This window comes from Homo sapiens, chromosome 7 (assembly GCF_000001405.40).
Source record: "Homo sapiens chromosome 7, GRCh38.p14 Primary Assembly".
In the NCBI taxonomy this organism is placed as follows: domain Eukaryota; kingdom Metazoa; phylum Chordata; class Mammalia; order Primates; family Hominidae; genus Homo; species Homo sapiens.
In genome coordinates this window covers 155,710,441-155,735,179 of record NC_000007.14, presented here as the reverse complement: position 1 = coordinate 155,735,179, position 24,739 = coordinate 155,710,441, and the positions used below count along the sequence as shown (strand labels likewise).

The 24,739-nt window shown below is 41.2% G+C and overlaps 1 protein-coding gene across 1 annotated transcript in view, besides 1 other annotated feature; it reads right to left on the bottom strand.

The window, feature by feature from the left end:
- The window catches only part of RBM33 (RNA binding motif protein 33), a 136,820-nt gene that overhangs the window by 46,301 nt on the left and 65,780 nt on the right, over positions 1–24,739 (bottom strand). The window contains exons 8-9 of the mRNA NM_053043.3: positions 23,725–23,977; positions 16,737–16,795 (exon numbers count right to left, since the gene is read on the bottom strand). Of these exons, the coding sequence (NP_444271.2) occupies positions 16,737–16,795; positions 23,725–23,977 (312 nt within the window). The remainder of the gene's footprint in view (positions 1–16,736; positions 16,796–23,724; positions 23,978–24,739) is intronic.
- Positions 6,655–7,155: an enhancer, noted in NCBI's record as "H3K27ac hESC enhancer chr7:155520719-155521219 (GRCh37/hg19 assembly coordinates)". NCBI's record gives its function as "activates a minimal SCP1, AML or CMV promoter by ChIP-STARR-seq in naive H9 embryonic stem cells {active_cell/tissue: H9 hESC(naive)}" and the evidence as "EXISTENCE:reporter gene assay evidence [ECO:0000049][PMID:30033119]".

Genomic DNA, 24,739 nt, shown 5'->3' with positions numbered 1-24,739 from the left:
ATTCCTCCAGGTAACTTAAATGTTCTATTTATAAAGTATAGCATTAGCATTCCATCTTTAGTTTTGTATATCAATATGATTCTGACATATACAGACAGTTCCTGACTTACAATGGTCCAACTTACGATGTTTGCAACTTACAGCGGCCTCATCCTAATGTAACCCCATCGTAAGTTGCAGAGTAGCTGTGCAAGCATTTCAAAACGTTTTAAAATAATCTTCAAAACTTTCTGAATGACAATAAATTAGCAATCAAGGTTCTGCATTATTTCAAAAAAATGTTTAAATGATGCTTCTCAGAATGACACGGAATAAAAGAAACAACTGCCTGCCTCTGCTTGCAGAGAGGTTTGACTGATCACACTGTTTCCAACCCACGCAAATTGGCAATGGTGGTTCTGAATAAAAATCCTTTTCCAATTAATCAGCCTGTTTCCTTAAGCTGTTTCAATGCACACTTGACTACACTTATTTCGGGGGAGGAGGCACACGGGAGGGGTTTCAAACAGATACATACAAAAGGAACCAGTAAGATTCATTAGAAGAATTTGCATTGAGAAATGAAAAACATAGGGATCAAAATGATGTCACTGAGACACCAAAAAGAGACAATATCACAGCCTGAAACAAGATAATAGTTGTGAAAAGTAAAAATCACTCAAATGCAAACTCTTCAAATGAAAAATGGGTATGACATTTTAGCTTACAAATACAAAATTAATAACACCTCTGGAAACTATGAAAAACCATTTCCAACGTTAAGTGTGGTTATGATAGCTCTCTTCATGTAACTGAGTCAAGATCAACCACAAGCAGGTTTGATGATGGTTTGCCCAACCACCTAGGTAAGAGTTTGGATGGGGCTGATTTCAATTCAACAGAGGGAGGAGGTTTCTAACACTCTCCCAGCAATGAACACATCCTCAACCCACAGAAGCACGCACTCAGGAGGAGGAGCACCGCCTGCCGGGGATGATCTCAAAAGTGAACTGGACTAGCGCATCCTCAAGGTCCAAGCCAACTCACAAAGAGTGGGTCTGTCGATGTTCTTGAAATTACAGACCAGTTGAAAGACAAACTGGTAAATCTGGCTGGCACTAGTGCAGCCAGGCACGCACTGGGCGTGAGGTGACAGCAGGACTGGGTCACGGAGAAGGAGCCCCGAGGAACAGCTGGCATGAGGTGTGGGCCTGTCTGCCAAGTCTGGAACCTGGGAGGTGCTCACAAAGAGACTGACAGAATTAAATGTTCATTTTCTCACTTTTCTGGTAGGTCTTGATGCCTAGTGGGAACCAGATTAGAAGACTTAAGAACAAAGTCTCAGCATGGGTTAGAGTTGGGGAAGTGGGTTCTAAATCAAGGCTCACGGTCTAGGTGACAAAACAGGAAGGTACTAGCAATGTGAACGGCCATTCTTTCTACTTGCCAGGACTCACAGACTTTTATAGCTGAGCAAGCGCTCCTTCACACTCCCTACCGTACAGTGACTGACAACTGCAGGGATTCTTGCAGAACTTAAGGGCCAGTCAAGAACCAATGCTTTCTAAGCAGCCACCTTAAAATGAGGACCAAAGGGAACTCAGGCCCCTGGTCCACTGGCAGAGTCCAGGAATTCCTGGGTATGACACTGTCACCACTGTCGATACCAGGGCCCCATGAACTCATCAACACACAGTGAGGAAGCTAAAACTTATGACATTAAATCACTGGTCCAAGGTCACAACCCTATTTTAGTATTTTTATTTTTCTGTAAGTTCACTCAACCACATCAGGGATTTCAATATTCAAGAAAACCAAGTTAAAGCTTCTGCAAGGGTTCATTTTATTCACGACATAATAAAAACGCAGTGGGGGGAGTTTCAACCCATATAATAAGAAATCTTATCAAAATTACTAAATTTGGGTTACAACTTTTCCCTGACTTAGACATAAAAATGGTAGTGTACCCCCAAGTCAGAATGTGGAACCTGGACACTTGTCACATTACATACACACTTTCCCTTTCCATCTCCGGTATTTCCTTGAAAAATTTTCACTCTTACATTTCTGTCTCAGCCAAAATGCAAAATCACTACAGAAAACGGCTTCTCTTGTAACCCTTGGTACAGAACCTTTACCTCCTCCTGACCCTGCTTCACTCTCTGGCCACCTCCCTGTATCAGGAGACGCCTGACACAGGGCCCAGACATACCCAAGCCTCTGACTCCTCTACCCCTGTGGCCAGGCTCCTGAAGGCTGGAACACGAAGAATCCCATGAACTGGAATCACTAAAAGCTTTTGTTTTATTTTAACTGGCTCATCAGTGTCAATCAGCAGTTTTTCACCTGTCCCTGGGCAGCTCCTTCTCTCACTGCCCAGGATAACTTCACACCTCTGAGCACCTTCTAGTGATTCCACCACACAGCTGTCCCCTCTGCCTGCAAGGCCCTCGGCATCCTTGCCGCACTTCCTTCCCCCTCTTCTCTGCTTCCACCTGCATCTAAACATCACTTTCTACCACGAGTAATGGACTTGCTGCTAATTTTTACCAACAGTCTATTTGTTAAAAATATATATAAATTCTCACTATTATACATTTGGTCAGATTTTTCATTTAAATATAGGAACAGTATGCTGAAGTAGGACAGAAGGTGAAAGTCGGCTACGGATGGGCTGACAAGCCGTCAGCCCCAACCATAGTCAGCACACTTCAGGGCTCGCAACTCATCAGCTCTATCAGTCACTACTATGCTAATGAGCTGGCTTAAAAAAGCAGATATTGGGAGGTGCCAGAGAGAAAAGGAAGAGTAAAATGTACTTTTAGAGAAAGGGGGAGAGTCCTCTGAGGCTATTTCCACTTAACCCTTAAACTTTTTTATTGTATTAACAGCCGGAAATCAGCATCACTGGGTGTGAAAATTTTTTTATCAATTTACAATTATTTTGCCAATTTTAACAAAGAGTAAAGCAAAGCTTAATGTATCAGTTATTCAGAATGACAGGTAATTACACACTGCCACTCTCTCCTATCCCGGCTCAGTTTCCCCTTCACCCCTTTCCAGTGTGCCAGTTTCAAGTGTGCAGTTGCAGGGTACACTGTTCCCACAGGACCAACCAGCAGTAGGCAGGCTCCTCCCCAGGTGCAGAAAGAAGGGCTGCTTCTGTAGCTGGCCTTTTGTCACTCAGTTCTCATGCCAGGGAAGTGCCAGTTCTCTTTAAATTTTGCCTATAATTAGAACAAGCTAAAAGAGGTCCTGATCTTTCCATCTTCATTATTTAATAGGTGAAGCCCTAATATTTATTACTCCTTTTCTTACTGGGCTTAGAACTGAAAAACTCCATTTCTTAGAAAATTCTGTAGTTCTTCTAAGTTCCATGATTGTATCTTACTGCCATGAATCTCATCCTCAATAGTACAGAGGTCCTCACTTATCCACAGTTTCACTTTCTGGGGTTGAGTTACCCACCATCAATTGAAATCTGAAAATATTAAATGGAAAATTCCAGAAATAAACAATTCATAAGTTTTACACCATACACCTTTCTGAGTAGCATGATGAAATCTCTTGGCATCCTGCTCCGTCCAGCCCGGGGAATGAAATCATACCTTTGTCCAGAGGATCCATGCTGAAGACACTCCCTGCCTGCTAGCCCATTAGTCACTTGGTCAACGTCTTGGTTATTAGATTGACTGTCACAGTACTGCAGAGCTTGCATTCAAGTAACTCATATTTTACTTAATAATGGCCCCAAAATGCAAGAGTAATAACTGTTTTATTGTATGATTAGCTATTGCTGTTCATCTCTTATTGTGCCTAATTTGTAAATTAAACTTTATCCTAGGTATATATGTACAGGAAAAACCATGGTCTCTACTGGGGGTCTTCCAGTACACGCCCCTCGGATAAGGTGGGCACCACAGCACTGGCCATGCGGCTGCTGCAGCAGGACTCTTTATAAACCTTCTTTCCTACCTTCCATCAGGCAGCTAATTTCAAGTCCTCAAAAAGATTTTTCTCATTATAGATAAGGCAAAATGTAACTGGGAAAGTAGACTGGCCTCCACTCCACTCTGAGCGGAGAGTCAACCAAGGTTCGATTTTTTACTTTGCCACAGGTTGTGATCAGGGAAAAGGACTCTGTCTTTAGCTCTTTCATCCTTTTCTAAAAGGAAAGAGTTACTGAATTAGAAGAAACTCAAAGACTTTAGTCCACAAACTTAGTTTTCCATAAAATTCCAAGCTACCTGAGAACTAGGTACATCACCTCTTAGGTCTCTAAGCACTATCAGATTCCCTGGAAGATTTCCCTGGAACTTTAATATTGTGATTTTCATCTCTTCCCAAAACTTTCTTTCCTTTAACTGACTATTTACATGCTGTCTAAATGCACAGTCACTGGCATCTGAATGTTACTGGTACGTAACAAAGCCCCGAAAATTCTCTCATGATAGTTTTTCCACACTCAGTGGAAAATAAAAGCCTTTAAAATCCATCACTAATGTTTAAGCAGAACTTTATTCTAACTTACAGTGATCCTGTAGGTGCTCAGGCTGAGAAGCAGCACCCATCATCTAACCTGACAGCTCTCCCAGCCCTGTCTCCATCCCAGCCACTTACCAGCTACAGCCTTGAGCTCATGACTGAATCTGTCTGGGCCTCAGTTTGCTCATCTACAAAACAGCAATTAGTACCTACCTCACAGGGGCAGGAAAGTCCTTAGGACAGTACCTAGCAAATAACAAAAGTTCACCATACATGTCGTTATCATTTTTACACCTTTTTGTAGACAGCAGCCCAGACTGTAAATACGATATATAGCTTCTGACATATTTCCATATCTTCTGTCATATTTCCATGTTTCCATATATGGTAAAAACCAAATCAGTATAGATTCCCTGCTTGCATTCTTATTTCTGAGTTCAAATCAGAAATCCCTCATAAAGTACCAGCAAGTCCTAGAAACTCTGTCTCTTGAATGTCTCCAATCCACTTCCACTTCTCTCTGCCCTTCAACTGCCGGGTCCGTGAGAGCTGAGACCAGGCCTGTCTTACACATCAATGTGTTTCCATACTTGGCCCAGTGCCTGGCACACAGGCGGTCATAAATATTTAATGGATGAATGAAATGCCTGTTTGTAATAGCAAGGTATTCCCCGAGCCTCACATTCTCAACCTGGAAGTACTGCGGCATGCTGTAAAACCAGCTGCCCACAAAGCACAGGGAGAGGTGCTGAATGGCTGAATGAAGGAAGGAAGTAACAAAGGTTAGGATGTACTAACCTAGACCTCGGGCAGTGAACTGCCTGAGGCTCTTAAGCTGAGCAGATGTGAAACACATACAGTGCACAAGGACCAAACAGAAGCCAAGATCTGGGGTGATCACTGGTTTAGAGACAGAAAAATTAACAGAACTGAGTTCTTACATGTATGACAGAATTTTTTTTTTTTTTTTTTTGTTAAAGAGACAGGGTCTTGCTTTGTCACACAGACTGGAGTATAGCGGTGCGATCACAGCTCACTGCATCCTCAAACTCCTGGGCTCAAGTGATCCTCTTGCCTCAGCCTCCAGAGAACCCGGGACTACAGGCATGAGCCACCATATCTGGCTAATTTTTAAATTTTTTGTAGAGATGGGGTCTCACTATGTTACCCAGGCTAGTCTGAAACTCCTGGCCTCAAGGGATCCTCCCACCTTGGCCTCCCAAATCACTGGGTTTACAGGTGTGAGTCACTGCATCTGGCCAAGAGAAATTATTTTAACTTGTATTCTAACTATATAATATCATTAGAGAAGGACCATGCTGACTGGCTTCTTCACCCTGCAGCTGGGAGAAGAGTGAGGATCACTGGTGGGAGGCCAGAACTTCCATGCTGATAGGGTTTGGCTCTGCATCCCCACCCAAATCTCATCTCGAACTGTAATCCCCACGAGTGGAGGGAGGGACCTGGTGGGTGGTGACTGGATCATGGGGGCAGTTTCCCCCACGCTGTTCTCATAATGGTATGTGAGTTTTCACAAGATCTGATGGTTTAAAAGTGGCACTTGCCCCACTTTGCTCTCTCTCCTGCCACCACGTGAAGAAGGTGCTTGCTCCCCCTTTGCCTCCTGTCATGATTGTAAGTTTCCTGAGGCCTCTCCAGCCATGCGGAACTGTGAGTCAATTAAACCTTTTTTCTTTATAAATTACCCAGTCTTGGGTATTCTTTATAGCAGTATGAAAACAGACTAATACACATGCTGTCTCATTTAATCCTTATCACAACCCTACAAGGTAGGTATTATGCTCACAGAAATCTTCTGACCATTTAAATAACCTTCACTTAGTATACGGTTAGAAAGTGGCAGAACTTGAATTCAAACCCAGGCTGCCTACCTGCAGAGCACACTGTGAATTCCTTGGTATGAACAGCAAATGGGGAGGGATTTTTCTCACATTCCCTAATCAGTCCCTAATCATATGTTTTATCATCACATATGTAAGTGTAATTGTGCAAGTCTACGTGTGTTTCAGAGTCAAGAAAACCAGTAAGTACTACATCAAGTCAAAAGTCAGACAGTCATGGAAATTTCATGGCAGGCTTTAATAAGTAAAAGAAATTATCAGTACTCACCTGATCAATCTACAAGAGCTGCATTAAAGAGGTAAGACCAAAGAGCTATCTAAGATTTAGAAAGAAACCGTTTACTCAGGGTGAGTAAACAAGGCAATTTCTGACCTTGGAATTTAGTTAAATAGAGTAAGAACGGAGAAAGAAGGATTTGCAAGTGTAGCCTGGAGTATGTACACGCTACAGGCAAGGTGCTGTCTCCTCAAGCAGCTGGGTGAAGGGCAGTGAGGAGGGAGGTAACATTATGTCATCGAGTGTACAGGACCCAAAGAACCTGAAGTACCCACTGACCTTTACAGGTGGAGAGGCTGGCCCAGGGAAAGAGAGCAACTGAATGGTAGATAAATCCAGTCCAATCAGGAAGAAGTCATGACGGCGCATTTTCCAAAATGACAAATGCCCGCATATCAGCCAAGTGGTAGCAGGATAAGAAAAGAGGGCAGATAATGCAAGACACCACTCAGAAAAAACATTCAATGACTGATCCGTGAAATATACCAGAGTGAAAAGGGTTGCCTCAGCTGGGGACAGTGCCTCACACCTCTAATCTTAGCACTTTGGGACCCCAAGGTGGGCTGACTGCTTGAGCCCAGGAGTTCGAGACCAGCCTAGGCAACACGATGAAACCCTATCTCTACAAAAAAAGTACAAAAAAAAATTAGCCAGGCATGGTGGGACACACCTGTAGTCCCAGCTACTTGAGGCTGCGGTGAGAGGATCACCTGAGCCCGGGAAGCCGGGCCTGCAGCGAGCTGCGATCACACCACTGCACTCCAGCCTGGGCTACAAAGTGAACCCTGTCTCAGAAAAAAAGCGGGGATGGGCGGTTACCTTTTTGGCAATGTCAGATGCTATTGGACAGAAGGGAGAGCTCACCTGGGCAGATATGTGGCTTGCCACTGCTCTAATAGAACTTGAGAGTTTAAATATTTAAATAATTTTTTTAACGTTTAAGCTTTAAGATCCCAAAAGCTGCTCACTGACTGTTAACAATATTGCTTTTTTGAAACAGAGGTTTGACAAATAGCAGGTCTCATGAAGCGCACAGTGTCACTTTTCCTGTTTTGTTTTGCACACAAGTGGCACTTTTCTCTTTCCCTCTAATTACACAACTTAAATTCTGACAAACATGTCAGCCACATGGGAAAGACTGCTAACTGCTTACCTAGCACAAATTCTCACTTATTCCTTAGTAACAGAGCCCTAATTTTATTCAGGACAACACCGCCCAGCTAAAAACTACATATTCCAACTTATAAGGAGGGTGACATTTGGCTAGACTCTGGCCAACAGGAGCAGTTGTCAGCTGGGGGATGGGTGGGGGGAGCTCCCTGGGGGATACCTCAGCTGGCCTGCACCTTCTGCCCTTGCCCCTCCTCCTTTCGGCCTGGAATACAGACAAATGCATTAGGTGATGGGTAGATGGAAAAACATAGGAGTCCCTATCAGAGCTGATACACACTAAAAAGAAGCTTTTTCATTTTTATGCAAAAAATACAACAGTCACTGTTAACTAAGTTTTCTGTTAAACGCAGCCTGGTTCACAGCCTGACTCAGCCAAATGTCACAGCTGATATTCTATTGTAGCTGACAGAAATACTGCTCCAATAAACTGGCACACAAGTCACTTTTCCTCTATGAGACAAAGAAACTCAGGTTTTACAGAGTTAAAAGTGAATTAACTAAAGTTACATCACCAATGAATGACAACTAAGATGACAAGAACCCACATTCTCACACTCTTGGTTTATTAAGTGCTTTATCCATCATAGTGCATTGCTTCTGCAAGACAAATCTATCTCCAAGAAATGCCATATAAATCATGGTTCCAAAATCTGACATTCATAAGAAGTTCTACTGATGTGATCATTTCTTTATTAACTTCTATCATTTCATGGGAATAAGGGTACTACATTACCAATTCCCTCTAGCAAATATAGATTTTAAAACTGTTATGAGTTGTGAATACCTCACTTAACAGAACTTTTAGTACTAACGTAATTCTACCTTTTGAAAGAAAAGATGACTTTAATCCTCTCAAATAAGTGCTCTGTTTTGCTTTTCTTTATATTCTTTTAAAAATCCAAGGTAAGAAATTATTATTCTCTCATATAATTCTCATACAAATTATACTTTCACTTTTCTGCATCTCTTGTTAATTACATGATTTTTATCTATATTAATCCTATTCAAGAAGAACTGATAACTCAGGTTACAAAAAAAAAAACGATGAAAAACTTTGCATAAATTGCTTAGCACAAAGTTAATCGTATAAAGCCAAGAATAAAAAGGCACTAACAGCTATTATGTGACTTATCAGCTTCCCTAAAAGGGTCAGTCCGTATATTTTAATAAGACTAATTAAATACCTTAACAATGTCATTGAAACTTCATGAATCTTTCAATACATTACAACCAATCTCTACAAGATGTTTTCCTTTATTAATCCCACTTGAAATACAAAGAACGATATAAGAAACCAATTGACACTTAAGAACACCTCTCAGTTAATTCTGATTAAATGGGTTGAATGCAAAGAATAAAGGTCACTAGTGACCCCTGACGTAATTAAAATTACAGCCCTCTATCACAATATGTTAATCCTCTTATTTCAGTATTCTCCATAGATTTCTTTTTCTTTCAGGTTATGCCTTGTTTAAATACCTATATTCACCTTCCTAGAGGGTACTTTGATATTTATAGATGCATTCTAAACATTTTGAAGAAGGATACACCTAGTGCCAAGTACTAGGTTTCATGCAGGGGTAAAAAAACACCACATGAATTTAAATACATTAGGATAATGTTAATGGTTCAAGCAGTGAAACAAGAGCACCCACTACAAACTACAAAACTTTTCTTTGGTACAAAATGGTGTTTTGATGAACCTCCTAAAGACTACTTACATTATTTCCTGAAATGAAAAACTCTTTATTTCTGCACCCTCACCCCTGCCATGGCCCCTCCTGAAACAACTCCTCCTAATGACTGGCCCTGCTATAGCAAACTTCCTCACTTTAGTACTTAATGAGGGTCACAATTTTATGTAGTTACAATTCAACTTACCAGATTCTATGTTTTTTTCTCAGTTTATGGAAGTTCAATTTCATATTTAAGGAGAAAGCACAGCATAAAAACTAAGAGAACTGGCCTCCAGTCCTCCCTCCTGCGCCCAGTTGTGTGAACTTAAGCAATTTGATCTTTCCAAAAGTCAGCTTGCCAATCTCTAAAACAAAAAATAATAATTTTTTACTTTTGCTCCACAGGCTGAACACACTGTGGAATATAGTGATCACTCAATTTTTTTTTATTCATTACTGATTTTCAACCATATATGCTCTATGAATACCGTACTTCCTCATTCAAAAAAAAAAAAAAAAAAAAACAACTAAAAAAGGAAAGAACCAACTAAAAAAGGAAAGCAGTAGTATCAGCAGCTACGTCAACTGAAAAGCATACAGTCTGTCTTAAATCTCATCTGTGAATGCACTATCATCCACAATCCACTCCTAGGCATTTACTGACAACTTATGTTCACAAAAAAAATCTGTACACACACACACACACACACACACACACACACACACACACACACACAAACCTGTACACAAATGTTTACAGCAACTCTAATCACAACATCCGAAGACTTGAAATAACCCAACTGCCTATCAGGTGAATGGATACACAAACTGCTATATCCATATACTGGAATACTACTGAGCAATAGAAAAGACAAACTACTGACTGGTGCAGCAAATGGATGAATCTCAAACGCGTTATACTACAGGAAAGCAGCCAGGCTCCAAATGAAACAAGCTCTATGATTCCATTTACATAACACAATTATAGGAACAGACACATTCAGTGGTTGCCAGGGGCCGGTAGGGAGAGGGGCTAACCACAAGGGGCAGGAGAGTCCCTGGATGATTATATAACTGTAGGCACTAGGCGAAACTCACACACCTGTACGCTCAAAGCACTCAATTTTTAAAGTGAAAAATTCTCATCTTTTGGAAGAATTACTTTTTTGTTTTTGGTTTTGTTTTGTTTCGTTCTTACTTGACACGGAGTCTCGCTCCATCGCCCAGGCTGGAGAGCAGTGGCACGATCTCAGCTCACTGCAACCTCCGCCTCCTGGGTTCAAGCGATTCTCCTGCCTCAGCTTCCCAAATAGCTGGGTCTACAGGCACCCGCCACCATGCCCAACTAATTTTGTATGTTTAGTAGAGATGAGGTTTCACCATGTTGCCCAGGCTGGTCTCGAACTCCTGACTTCAAGTGAGCCACCCACCTCAGCCTCCCAAAGTGCTGGGAGCGCTGGCCAGAAGAATTGCTTTTGATACTTTATAATAAAACAGGACTTCTCTCCAAGTGTGCCTTAAAAATGCACCTAAACAGAACCACAGGTCTTCAACAACTCCTGGGAAATTAAATATTAAAAGAAAAAAAAAAGCAGTGTGTTTTGTAGGACACATCACTAAAAACAGGTAACTAAGATTTCCCTGCACAGAGGAGTTCCAAGACTTTAAACTGTGTCCAACATTTCACAGGCTAAATTATTCAGTTGCAGATGGGCAAACTACACTGAGGTTTAAGTCTCTATATATAGCACTCTATATCCGAAGAGAATTTAAAAGGTGTCCCAGTCAATGTAACAGATTTACTTAGCCAATAAACGAAAAACAGCCCTCCCTTGGTATGCATAGGAGATTGCTTCCAGGCCCCCGCATATACACATGTTGTACAAGGGACAACTATAGTTTATCACATACTTTATAAAGCAGTTTTTACAAAGTAGCTCAACAGCTCCAACAGAAGAAACAAGAAACCAATTTTATGTGATTTCAAGGAGTACCCCTGGCCTTTGACTAATTAGCATGGACTTGAACCCAGCCCTATCTCTATCCAACACATGCAACGCATGCTGACCAAGCAGCAAGTTAAAGGGTTACTGAATTTGATAAACCACCTTCTTTAATAGCTGTTACCATAGTGTTTAGCTGCTCGTTACTGCCGCAGATGGGAATTCATTGATATGATTAAATTTGATGGTATGATAATGTATGGTAATCACGATTAATCAGAAACCCACTAGCAAGTGGAGGATGTTGGGTATTATGTCACGTGCATTTTAAACTGCATTCTCTCCTTGCAAGCCTGACAATGTTTGACAGCTGGAAGGGTCTCCTACTATATTCGCCTGCTACTACTTATAGATCTGATCAGAGAAAATGCCCATCATTCCTTCCATAGCTTAAGTGCTGGTAATTATAAGGCATTGCAAGCATGTTGTAAAAACAGTAGGTGTTCAAAAGCAAGACGTTCTTTCCTGGATGGAATAAAGTCTGGATTCTCATCTGCAAGGGCTGTAATAGAAAGAAATGTGATTTGATGCAGCAGTCTCATCAAACATGATTTGCATGAAATGGCCTATAAGACACATCCAGGAAACATCATTCACTGCCACCTGATACCATGTGCCCAAATGTGGCCCAAACTATAAGATGTGTGATGTTCTGTAACTACAGAGTAAACACAAATACGAACCTCGTTTGCCAGGTCTAAGTAAGTAAGAACACGATTGTTAAGAAGATGCATTCAAACTTAAAAGTATAGTTTATTTTAAATTTAAACAAAAGGCACTAAGAAATTATTCAGCAGCCCAACTACCTGGTATTTAACGGCTAACTGAAATATCACTATTTGCCCGAAACACCAATGTAAAATCAAAGGACTGAATAGTTTTTAAAATTTTTAAACTTATTTTAAAATACTCTAGGTCAGGAATCTTTAAAATGATTTTTTCATAAGCTTAAAATTTAGCTCAGCACTTTTTCACAAGCTTAAAAACAGCAATTGCACAGAAAAACTAGATTCACAAAAGTCTCAAAACAACATGTTAAAATATTCCAACAGTTGACATTTTATGTTACTTTTTTTAAGTGGGCAAACTTTAAAAACAAAAAACTCTCTGAGGACAAATACATGACTAGAAAATATACTTTATGGATAAGATAAGGACTTACAGCTTTATATTAGTGACAAAAACACCAGGTATAGCCTTTGCAGAAAGAGAAACCAATTAGATTAATTTAATTGTAAAACAGAGAACATCTGAAATGGAAAACAGAATTTAAAGTGTAGAAACTTACTTTCAGAAAGGTAACTAGCCTTCCACACCACTACTTCCTTATTTAAAAGACAAAACAAAACACAACACAGTGTTTCGTGAAATAGCATTCAGCATTCCTGACATGAACAAAAATGTGTTCATTAAATGGACTAGTAGATGGTTAAGAGGCCAGACCAGAAGACTGGACAGAGCAAAGTGCCCAAATGTAACAGGGTCATCAGTCACACAGGACATGTTAAGCTCTGAGGGTATGTTACTTCCTGTGCTCATCAGCCCATGTAAGTATTCATAACTTATGTAACGGAAATATGTTTTACAATCAGAAGAAAAAAAGTTTCAGAGTTCAGAACTAACGTGCATATCTGTAACTAAAATTAAGTACATAAATCTAATTTTTAAATGGAAGCCTAAATTACAAAGCACTTTACAGAATTCCTTAAATGAGGGACTAGGGAAGGACATGCATCCTAGTGCAAAGACTAACATAACCAAGAGCAAAAGCAATTTTCTCCAAAATGATCAAAAACAAGGATCCTTTTCTTAAGACACTTATTTTGACATTCAGTTATTTGTTTTAAAAATCATTTCTTAAATTCTCCAAATAATGCTAATTAACAAGAAATAAAAATATTAGTCTAACTACAAGCAAAGCCCAGAATACCAAATTTTGGCCTCAGATTTGGATTTTTAAGAATAATTTTAAAGAATAATTTTAAATAATTTTACACACTATGAAAAATGGTATTTCACATTTGGGTGCCTCAATTTCTGTAATTTTTAATTAAAAAAACTAGAGGTATTATAACTCAGCAAAATTTCTGGACATACTAGTTCTAAACTAAGCATAAATAGCAAATGTATCATACAGCCTTTAAAATTTGGAAATCTAGTGGTACTTTTGCGTATTGTCTGCCTTTTTTTTAACTCTTTTAGTCAATTGGGTATGAAGCTGCATTCTTGTATAGTTAAATGCATGTGATATAATTCTACTATACAAATTCACATACGTTCTTGAATACAACAAGTAAAAAATATAAAAATTAAAAAGCACACCCCCCCTTTACATTACTTATTCTATGTAGGGCTCCTAATAAGCAGTAAGGTCACTCTATATTAAGTTTCTGGGTATGTCTATTTGACAACTATGTGCTCCCTCCCGCCTCTCTGCACAGGGCCTGTGGCTAAGTGCACCACCGAGCACAGGATGACCGGGACTCTGGCACGGGTGTTTAGCCACAGACATTCACCAGATATCACACAAATAGGAGTAAACACACAACTATGACTGATGTGAGGAAGCTACATATGCACTACTACGAGCACAGCTTTGGATAGAATGTTACCTATCCTAGGAGCAATGAGAATTCCTTTAAAGGTACTTAAGCTGGGGAAAGGAGAGATTACAATGAACCTTGATTTGCTCAATTGCAAATTTCATAACAACTGGCACACAGATTTCTGAATTCAAATCTATTTTTGCGTACTAAGAAGCACACTGACTCAAACAGACCACCTGCTACATTTGAAGTTCAATGTTCCATCACTTTGTGTGTGCGTGTGTGTAGTCAGTTTTTAAAGCAAAATTAGGTTTGACAAATATTGATTGAACCCCAAATACAGAAAACCACCAGGATAGAAACTGAGGGGCATACGGCCATCCATAAGAACCAAGACAGAGCCTGCAGCACCTCCAGCCACCAATAAGAAATCTCCAGACGGCTTTGCTAAGCCACAACAATGTTGTCTTCACTATTCTTAAATTTTACTCAAATGAAAATTAGCTTCAAGGACATAAGTTAGGTTTCATTTAATGATGCTTGGTTCATTTTATAGCTTAGAGACAGCACTATGCAGAGCACTTGACATAAAGTAGATCCTCATTAAATGTTCACAAAATTACATTTACATTCACAGGAACCAAGTTTAATCTAGTAGTAGAAAAAAGAAAAAAATAACTTTACTCAACGAAGATCTGGCTTACAAGTAAAACAACGAGAGGTAGCCTAGAGTTTATTTTCCTTCCCAACAAGACTGGTGGGCTTTTTAAAAACACAATACCGCTACTGTATTTTAAAAAATACACATTTCATGATTTTCTCTAAGGGAAAATGATTTGAGAAATAAGTAGTGCACTGCACGCGCTATACCCCAAGTTCACTGTAACATCAGCACTTGGGACTTAAAGGAAGATACGTGTTAAATCGTGGTAAATACCTGGGCTGAAGAGAACACTTCTTAAGCTATATGCACATACACAGCTCATTTCTAGCCCAACTATTTCTGATCACCCACACATACTTCCCATCTCAAAAACAAAAATTGAACATTACACCTCGCAGAAACTGTTCAAAACTGCCTTGAAACATATTTACCATGCTTAGAGTACTATATAACTGAAACGCAAGTTCAATTTCTCACAAAAATGTTCTTTTATTATCCTCTTCTAATAGCGGCAAAGTATTCTAAGGTTTTATTCCTAGCATCAGATACAATTATACTTGCACAACTGAAAAATGAAATAAAAATTGCAATTGACTATTCTAAGTTTATATTAGTAAACATTTTTACAAAAATATAAATTACATTGCTTTAGGTTTATATCTTAACTGCAAATGCTTTTCACATCAAATTTTATCCTTGTAGTACAAAATGTGAAAACACATCCAAAAATGATTTTAACACAGATATAATCACAGTCCTGAAAAAGCAAAAAGTATTTGTCAGTGCTTTATAATAACTAGCAGATAAACTACTCCACAGAAGAAATGTATTCAATGACTAAAATCATACATGTCAGCCTTGGGTAATGGATCTAATAAAACTTGACTTTTTAGACAACTGCTTCAAATAGATACCCAATAAATATCATCTAATGTTTTAAAAACAACTAATTTTTAGAACTTGGTAAATAACTTATAGAAACACATTAGCTAAACATAAAGAAATCAGGAAGAACCAGCTTTAGAAACCATGTCATAATTCATAACTACAAGTCAAAGAAATTTCTATAAAATACTCTGAACCTTAAATCCAATAATGTTATTTTTGAATAATCACCTGATTATACATTCACATCCTTCATTTAACCTTTCTGCTAAATGCCATATATAAATGTTATCTACTGAAGTACCAAAGATAAACAGTTAAATAAGCCATTTAGATACTCCCTGAAAATCAGACTATTTAACCTAAATAAGACTACCTCTGTTTTACATATAAATGACATTAAAATTTTATGGTCAGTACATTTTTTCCCCTACACTGTTTAAAAAAAAAAATGTACTCTCTAGTTTAGTAAAACCATGAACAAACTACACACTGAACCAAAAATTCAAATAAAATAAAGTGTATATATTTAAACAAATATAACTAGTTAATGGGCTTTTTCTTCTACCTAAAACATGTTAGAAGAATGGATAAAATTACTGAAGATACAGCAAAGTGTGCATTTCTGTGTGTGTATAAGTGAATGACAGTGTGTGTGTGTGAGAGAGAGAGAGAGAGAATATATGCTTTCTTTTAAAGGTATTTTCAAGTGAAAACCTTCATTTTAAAATATAAAATGAGTGGCTCATTAAGACCCTAGAGGTTCTTTTAAAATACAAGAGATCTCTCATTTTCATTTCCTAGAATTTCACACACAATACACATGCACAAACACACGTGCCTGTGCGTGCATGCACACATACACCCCCCACCTCTCTAATAAAGCAAGGCCCTTTCTCACTAACATAAGGCAATAATAAAATCAATATTCATATTCTTTAAGACGAACGGCATTCCACTGATGATCCTGATTCAACAATTTTACAGTTAAACAAAATTAATTCTACTCTCAAAAATCCACTGACCTTAAGCTTTTAACAAACATTTTCTATTGCAGAGATTATTGTCAATATTTGCAAATCCTTAAAATTATATTTGGCTGGAACCTCTTGCACTTGCTATATTAATATTTCTTAGTAAATGTATGCTCATCCCTATCAAAGGAGAAGGAGCAGCTGCTACTCACTGGGAATCTCTGGGGTCCCACGGCAGGTCTCGGCTGGCTCGGAACTGGTAGCAAGGGCACTGCAAGAAAAACCCCTTGTGTTAGAGACACACTTTACTCAACACTCAAACCCCTGTAAGACAACATATGAAGTTTAATATAAAATATATACTATGCGTACCAGACATATAATACATTGTGCTTACGCTTAAGCTAAGCATTTAGTATTTTTAACAATTCCATAACAGAAAAGGGGAAAGCAGAAGTTTCCTTTTCGGTACACAGCAGTGCAAGCAGAAGTTTAAATCTCAATAGTTGACTATTATTTGGAATTAAAATATTTTGCAACAAAAGAAGATAGTATTCCTCTAAAATAAAAAACCTAGTTTGTTTCTCCTATCCCTATACAGATAATCCAGGTTATCAAATCCCAGTTATATTTTCCTATGCCACTCATATACACATTTAAATCTCAATCCTCATGAATCATGAAAGAGAGAAGGGAGGAAGGGAAGTGAGGCAGGCAGAGAAAGGAAAACAGCACATCCCAGGAATTGGAGAAAATGCTCACAAACTGTTAAAAATTTTCCACTAAACAATCCCCTATGCCAAGGCTTTTAGTTTACTTTAGTTTATAAACAAGCAGGATTTCCATCAATCCACCAGAACAAGGAATCAAATCATTTTTAAAAAGGTATCTCATAATAGAGAAGAAGCTAGATGTAAGTTTCACACCTTGAGGCTAAATCAGATGTGTTTAAGCTCTTTGAAACTCATTATGCACTATACTGATCTTGATTTTCAAAGAAACTCACAATCTAAGTGCAGCTACGTCTTACAGCAAAATGTGCTGGCAGATACACCTAGGAAGCTCTCAGATTGTCAGGTACTGTGGGGCTGAACTGTTTGCAACTCCCTCCCCCCGCCCCCACACCCAACCCCAAATGTATACGTTGAAGCCCCAACCCCCCGTACCTCAGAATGTAACTGGATTCCACTGATTAGGTCTTTAAAAGAGGTAATTGAGGTCAAATGAGGTCTAGGCCCTAACCCAACCCTGGTGTCCTTCTAAGAAAGGGAAATTTAGACATAGACAGTACACACAGAGGGAGGACCACGTGAGGACACAAGGAGAAGGTGGCCAACGACAAGGCAAGGAGAGAGGCCTCAGAAGGAAGCTGCCCTGCCCACACCTCGAACTTGGACTTCCAGCCTCCGGAACTGCGAGAAAATAAGTTTCTGTTGTTTAACTCACCCTATTTGCGGTGCTTGTTACAGCAGCCCCAGCAAACTCGTACACATCAGGTGGAATTGACAACGAAGCATATTTTTTAATTTAAGAAGTTTCTGCTAAATGTGAAATACAGGTGATACCTCTTAAAAGTCCATCAGAATCACTATAAAAACAGGGTGCTATGATAAACTTTTTTTTTACTATGATTACTCAAGGAATTCCATACATTAAGCCTTATAATTGACATCGCACTTCCCACACTTCAATTTCAAGTGATAGCATACATGGCCTGTGTCACTGCTTGATCAAATGCAAAGTGTGACTGAAACAAAACTTACTTTTATAAAATGTAAAAATGGCAGAAGTTCATCCCTTCCTTGACAGACTAATCTAATGAGTCCAAATTTCAAAATTAGAGTGGGTCAGTTTGCAAGACTTTATATAAAATAGAATCCAACTCTCCCCTCAATTCTACACAGCTGATGTTACATCAATTCCATATCTAAAGTGAAACACTAGACTGGAGAAAGTGGAGAAAGAAAAAAACAAGAATATCTCTGACCTCAGAAGATTATAATGAAGGTGACAAAGAAAAACACTACATATTAAATGTAAAGACGTGATTTTTATAATCAAGTTAACAAATATAAGACACCCAGATCTTCACTAACTCGATCATAGGTACCACTTAGAAACTTGGAATTTAAATGCCAATATCTACCAAAACATTCCAACACGATAAAAGGATAAAACATTAAGCCTCTTTAACCAGGAGAATGAGAGCAAGAAGGTGAGGTGGGATTTCTAGAAAGCAATCTGATTATAATAAATGGATTTCTTACACAGAAGCCTCTGATGAGCTGGTAATTTGCACAAAGTACCAGCCTTTTCCCTATTTAAAAAAAAAAAAAAAACAGCAGAAAAGGAAAAACAGCTGACAAAAAGGGTTGCTGCGTGCGGACAGTCCAGTCCCCATGGGAACAGTGCAGACACCTGGCCCACCCAAGAGATGCCACCTCAGTGGGAATACCCAGGCATGTGTCTGCGGGCTCTCCCTGCCAGGCCCTGGCTGCCCGACTACTGCAGCGAAGAATTTAACAGGTGTGATGTTAGAGACCAGTCTAGCTGAAGCTTCAACTTGAATATTTGAAGTTTAATATTTATAACTTGTCCCATGTATTTAATGGACTGTTTTCAATTCATTATAATTATAATACTAAAAACCTGGAAACAAGTTAAATTTCCATCAAAATTGTTTTTAAATAAATTATAACGGAACACTCTTCATCCTCAGAAAGTCTGTGCCATCAGAAGAAGATGTATATATATTGCTAGCTTTTTTAAAAAGCACCTTTCATCTGTGTAAGGCTCTGAGAATCAAAGGTTTAATCTGTGTATCTTTTACCTACAGGAGACATCTTGATATTCAGTCTCTCTCAAGAGGAACTGTGCATTTCTATTTAAGCTCATTCATCTATTAGAGAATAAACAACTGCTTCGAAAGTGTTGCCTATCTACCTAGCAAGAACACTTTGTCCTTCTCTCCTGTGTCAGTGTACCTCTGAAGGTCAAAGGTAAATGACAGATAAGGGACATGCGGCACTAAAGCTCCTAGTTTCATGGTGAGAAAAAGCTAGCTGGTTCTGAGTTTAAAAACTTTTGTCAGAAAGCTGACCTTGGAGTAGTTGCTAAATCACACGTGCGCTTTGGGGTGCAAGGCCTGCATTCTACACTTGCCAGGCTGTTGACTTTTGCAGGGGACACCATTTTCATACATAGAGGATATCTTGGGGCTTCCTGACAGCTTTACCACCCTATATTTCTAAGACTATTTTAGTGAAGCTAAAGAAAATCTGTACGTATTACCAGCTGCCAGCTTTCCACGGCATTTTACAAGGAAATGCACAAGAATAACAGATGCTAGCATAAGCAAAATTATTCCAACAAATTAGACTGACAGCAGTTCCAAGTTCAGGACAACCACTATGGGGAAGATGCAAAGGATTACTTGAAAGAAAGCCACCCTTCCCCATTCAAGTATGCGTGTGTTCATGTCTCCATTCATTCAACGGCTACTGCAGGAGACGTAGGCACCACACCAATCAGCGACGCTCAGGGCCACCTAAGAGGATGTGTGGATGAGCGATGCTAACCAGGGTGGGAAAAACTTTGGGGGAACACAGGGACATGCGATGGGGTCAGGAGGGGTTAGGAGTTAATTGTACTTTAAAACCTTATGCTTCTCTGCCATGCCCAGTGGCCTGGTGGTGACCCGCAGACACTGTCAAGAGGCGCCCCCCTCCCTTACACTCTGGGCCAGCCCGTCACCATCACAGTCCCCTGCTCCATGGCCACAGGACAACTTCATAATACTTCTCACCCACGTATGGGAGGGTCCCAGGATCTAGGCCACTGGCCAATCCCCTGCACTTGAACTACTACCTTAGGCTACTCTCCACTTCTGAAACTTCTCTCCCACACCCTTAGGAATCCCAAATTCCCCACCCATCAGCAGCATCCACCACACCCTTGAGTTCCTTCACCTTCTCGCTCTAATGGCCCCTCTGAGTGGCAGCTGTTCTCCCACAGCTTCTTGCCAAAGGTCTGGAGGTAGAAGGGCTCCTTCTTGATCTAACTGCTGCTTCCAGACCCAGCTTTCATCTCATGCCACCAGCTGACATGCCCCAGCACCACACTGGCCCTCTCATTTCTCAGGGAGTTCAGCTCCAGTCTGAATAAACACAAAGACGGCCCTTGCCGTGCCCTGCCTCAGATCCGTGCCACCTCTGCCTCCAGTCCTGGTGACCATTCCACCCTTCCATCTCACTCCCTCTAGGATCCTGATTCAAACAATCGTTCAACTCTACAAAGATCTCCAATGATCTCCTTTTCACCATCTCAGCCTCCTCCCTGGTGTCTTCTCCTCCCTGGCATCTACCTTATGATCCACAGCCCATCGTTATCAGCACTGCCTTCCCTTTACTACTTTGTGAAAACTATGACCCTCATAAACCCAACTGCCTGCCTATTCCACACCTAGTGTGCGCAGATGAGCGCAGCTGGACAGAGACACACAACCATGCTGACTGCCCTCACCTCAAATCCACACCCCTCAAGGGCTCAGCAGCCCCATCCATCCCTGCGCACATCCACTCTTCGAAAGCACGAACGGATGCTCCAAAGCGCCTCTCCTCAGACCTTCAACACGCCCTCCTACCTCCCCACTCTAGCTCCCTGCTACCCACCGAGGAAACTGAGGCCACCAAGGAAGAACTGACACAAGACTCCTCCACCTGCCCATCCATCTGCCCCAGCTGTGGAGGACTCCCTGCTCCTCCCCCTCAGCAAGCCCACCTCTGGCACGTGGTCCTGGACAAGACAAGTTTTTCCTCTCATCTGCATCAATGATGTTTTTCCTTCTTAACTAGCTCTTTTCTGTAAGTGCAATGAATAAAAAACTTAGAATAAAAAACTTTCTCTCAAGCCCACTTGGCTCCCATCAATTATCATCCAACTTCTGTTTTAGCAAAACACAGTCAAAGTCTGTCAATACAGTGGCCTCAAGTCCGTGCCCCATCTCAGCCAGGCCTGTGCCTCCTCCTCACCAGCCCCGCCCCAAGTGCAGGCCACACCCACTGACCCATTGGCAGCAGCCCTGCCAGCCCGTGGCCACCTGCTTCCTTCCCCATCGACCGTCATCCTCCTTCCTCCCTCTCGGCTCCTTTGCCAGGCTCTCCTCCTGCCCCCATTCCCACGTCGAGTGCCGGGGTCCCAGTCCTTGGCCTCCCTGACGGGTTCTCCTCCTGCCCCTCCCCCTCCTGTGTCAAGTGCCCTAGGTCCCAGTCCTTGGTCTCCCCACACACAGACTCCCTCCTCCAGGGCTCTCATTTGAGGGCAGGGTCTAAATCCACCTATTCACCAACAACCTCCTGACCTGTACTTTGAGCCCAAACCCCTATACTGAATTCTCATCCAACTGCCTACTAGACCCCTCCACTCACATGGCTAGTTGGCATCTCAAATTTAATGCACCCAAAACAGAACTTTTGATCTCCCCACCTCAGGTGATGGCAACCAGACCAGCCCTCTAAATGCTCTGGTCACCTGGGCATCACTCTTACCTCCTCTCTCCCTCTCACACTCATCCAATCCATCAGCAAATCCCATCGGCCCCATCTTCCTACTTCATCCAGCTCTGAGCTCTCTGCACTCTCCCTGCTACCACACTGGTTTGCACCAGGATCATCTGTCACCTCCTAGCTAGACACCAGCTTCCACCCTTGCCACCCGACAGTCTCCTCTCAACACGGCAGCAAGAGGAATCTTCTAAAACATACACAAGGTCACGTCATTCCTCTGCTCAAACCCCTCTAATCCCTGCCCATTTCACTCCCTGCCAAAGTCCTGAGAATGGCTGGATGGCCCCACGGCCCCACGGTACCCAGGTTCTGCATTTCTTCTCTGCTTTGATCACTCCACAAAAGTCACGCTGGTCTCCTTTTGGCTACTCAAACACACAAGGCAGGGTCTCTCCTGGAGGAAGCCCCCTTATACTTGCTGATCACTCTGCCTGCAATCTTCTTCCCTGAACAGCCACATTGCTAACTTACAGATATCCCTCAACTCTTTCCTGCTCAGTGAAGTTCACCCTGATCACCCCATTTAAGATACAACCCATCCCTTCCCCGCATCCTGCTCAATTTCTCACTGCATTTTCATCTTCTAACATGCCACATAAAATACTTATGTTTACTGCTAATAAACAATAATAAGACTGTCTGATAGAAAGTAATATCATGGTTGAAGAAAGCTTTGTCTGGTTTGTTCGTCAATATAACTCAAATGCCAAAAATAGAGTAGTAGCTCAATAAATGTGTGTGTTCACAGGTACATGAAGTTAAAGCTTCGTATAAACTGCTCAAAAACCGTTTCCTAGCTTAAGGAACATGTTTCAGTAATAATCAGATCTGTATTTATTTGATTACAACAACTAAAAGATGGTGTGTCCCCTCTCCACCAGCTGACACTGGAATTGAAGGGGGGCATGCTGCCTGGAACCAAAGAGGGACACTCACCACTGCAAACATCCTCACCGGGAGACTTACAAAGTGTCACAGTTCAGGCATTCCAATAGCGGTCTCTAGTGTATTCTTTGCATTCAGACTGTACTCTCAGCACTTTCCACTCAATTATACAATAAGAGATACACATTTTTAAAGAAATATACTTGACCCATCAAACTAAAATCTAAATGAATGGGGAAGAGCCAAGGAAAACTCAATCTTACAAATTTGAATGTGAAAACTATTTTGCCGCAGAGACGGCTTCAGTGCAATAAACTAATAAATGCCTTCAGATGCACAGTAATCTATAACATAACAGATGCTCCTCAACATAGGATGGGGTTACATCCCAATAAGGCTATCGTTAGTGGAAAAGACCCTTAGTCAAAATGCATTTAATATGCCCAACCAATGAAACATCATAGCTTAGCCTCACCTACCTTCAGCTCAGAACACTCACATCATTGCACAGTTGGCAAAATCATCGGGGCTGGGAACCGCAGCTCCCCCTGCCCAGCTTCGAGGGAGTTTTGGGATGCATGTTGCTACCCCAGGAGAGATCAAATCTCAACATTCGAACGATGATTTCTTCTGAACGCATACTGCTTTCACACACTCATGAAGTCAAAAACGCGTCAGTGGAAAAATCCTAAGTCAAACCATTGGAAGCTGGGGCCATCTATGCTTTACAATAGTAAAAGGAAACACAGACCTTGAACAGGCGTGACCACCGTCCCTTTGAAGTGCGGGTTGATGTGTATGTTCTTGGGCTGCTGTGGAGTCACGGGTGGCGGGGTCATCATCATCCTTGGGGTCTCTAGCTGGGGAGGCATGTGCATTCCCTGAGGCGGGGATGGGTGGTGCGGGTGCTGCACCGGAAGCAGCGGCTGCAGCGGCTGCGGCTGGAACAGGCTTCTGATCGGCTGCTGCTGAGGCGGCGGTGGCGGTGGAGGGGGAGCCTGGGGCTGTGGAGGAATTAACCTTGGAGAATGAGTCTACAAATCACAAAAAAAAAAACAAAAGTTCACCGAAATCAACATTTAAAAGAATGCTGATGTGTTACAAATTTACACTGATTGCATTTTTTAAGTTACAATGTAAGAAGTCTGTAGTAACAACTTGTATCAAAACAGCAGGATAAAGAAGCTTCTCTACTTCTTCACAATGAGGGCTACAGTCTCACAATTGAGTCAATCCCCACGCAAGAGGGAAAACAGCCCCAAAGCACCCAGTGTGAATTTTGAAAAAAAAAAAAAAAATTCAGTTCAGGGAATTGAACTGCCCACACTGAGCAAAGCCCTGTGCCAGGGACAGAAGAGCAGCTGCCACAGCCCTCCCTGTAGCAGCCTTGCATCCCCCTCCAGGAACTCTGGTAAGCAAGGCAGGAGATGTGCACCAGTTACCCTGCTCCAGAACTGAGGCCTGAGAACAGGACAGGGCCACAAAGAGCCTCCAGGAGAGGCTGGGAGGGAGCTTCTCTGAGAGGGTGACACCTGAACTCGGTGATGAAGAAGAGAGAGGTGCAAGGCAGAGTGAGGGACAGATACCCAGAAAAAAGCAGAAGCAGCACAGACCCACCTGCTTAGTAAAATCAGGAGACCAGGGAAGAAGGCAGGAAAGAAGGTAAGAAAATTACACACTCAAAGTGATCAGAGATCTCAATTCGAGGGTGGTTATTTTATCAAACAGTCACTAGAGAGGAAGAAATCAACAACTGCAACAGCTGC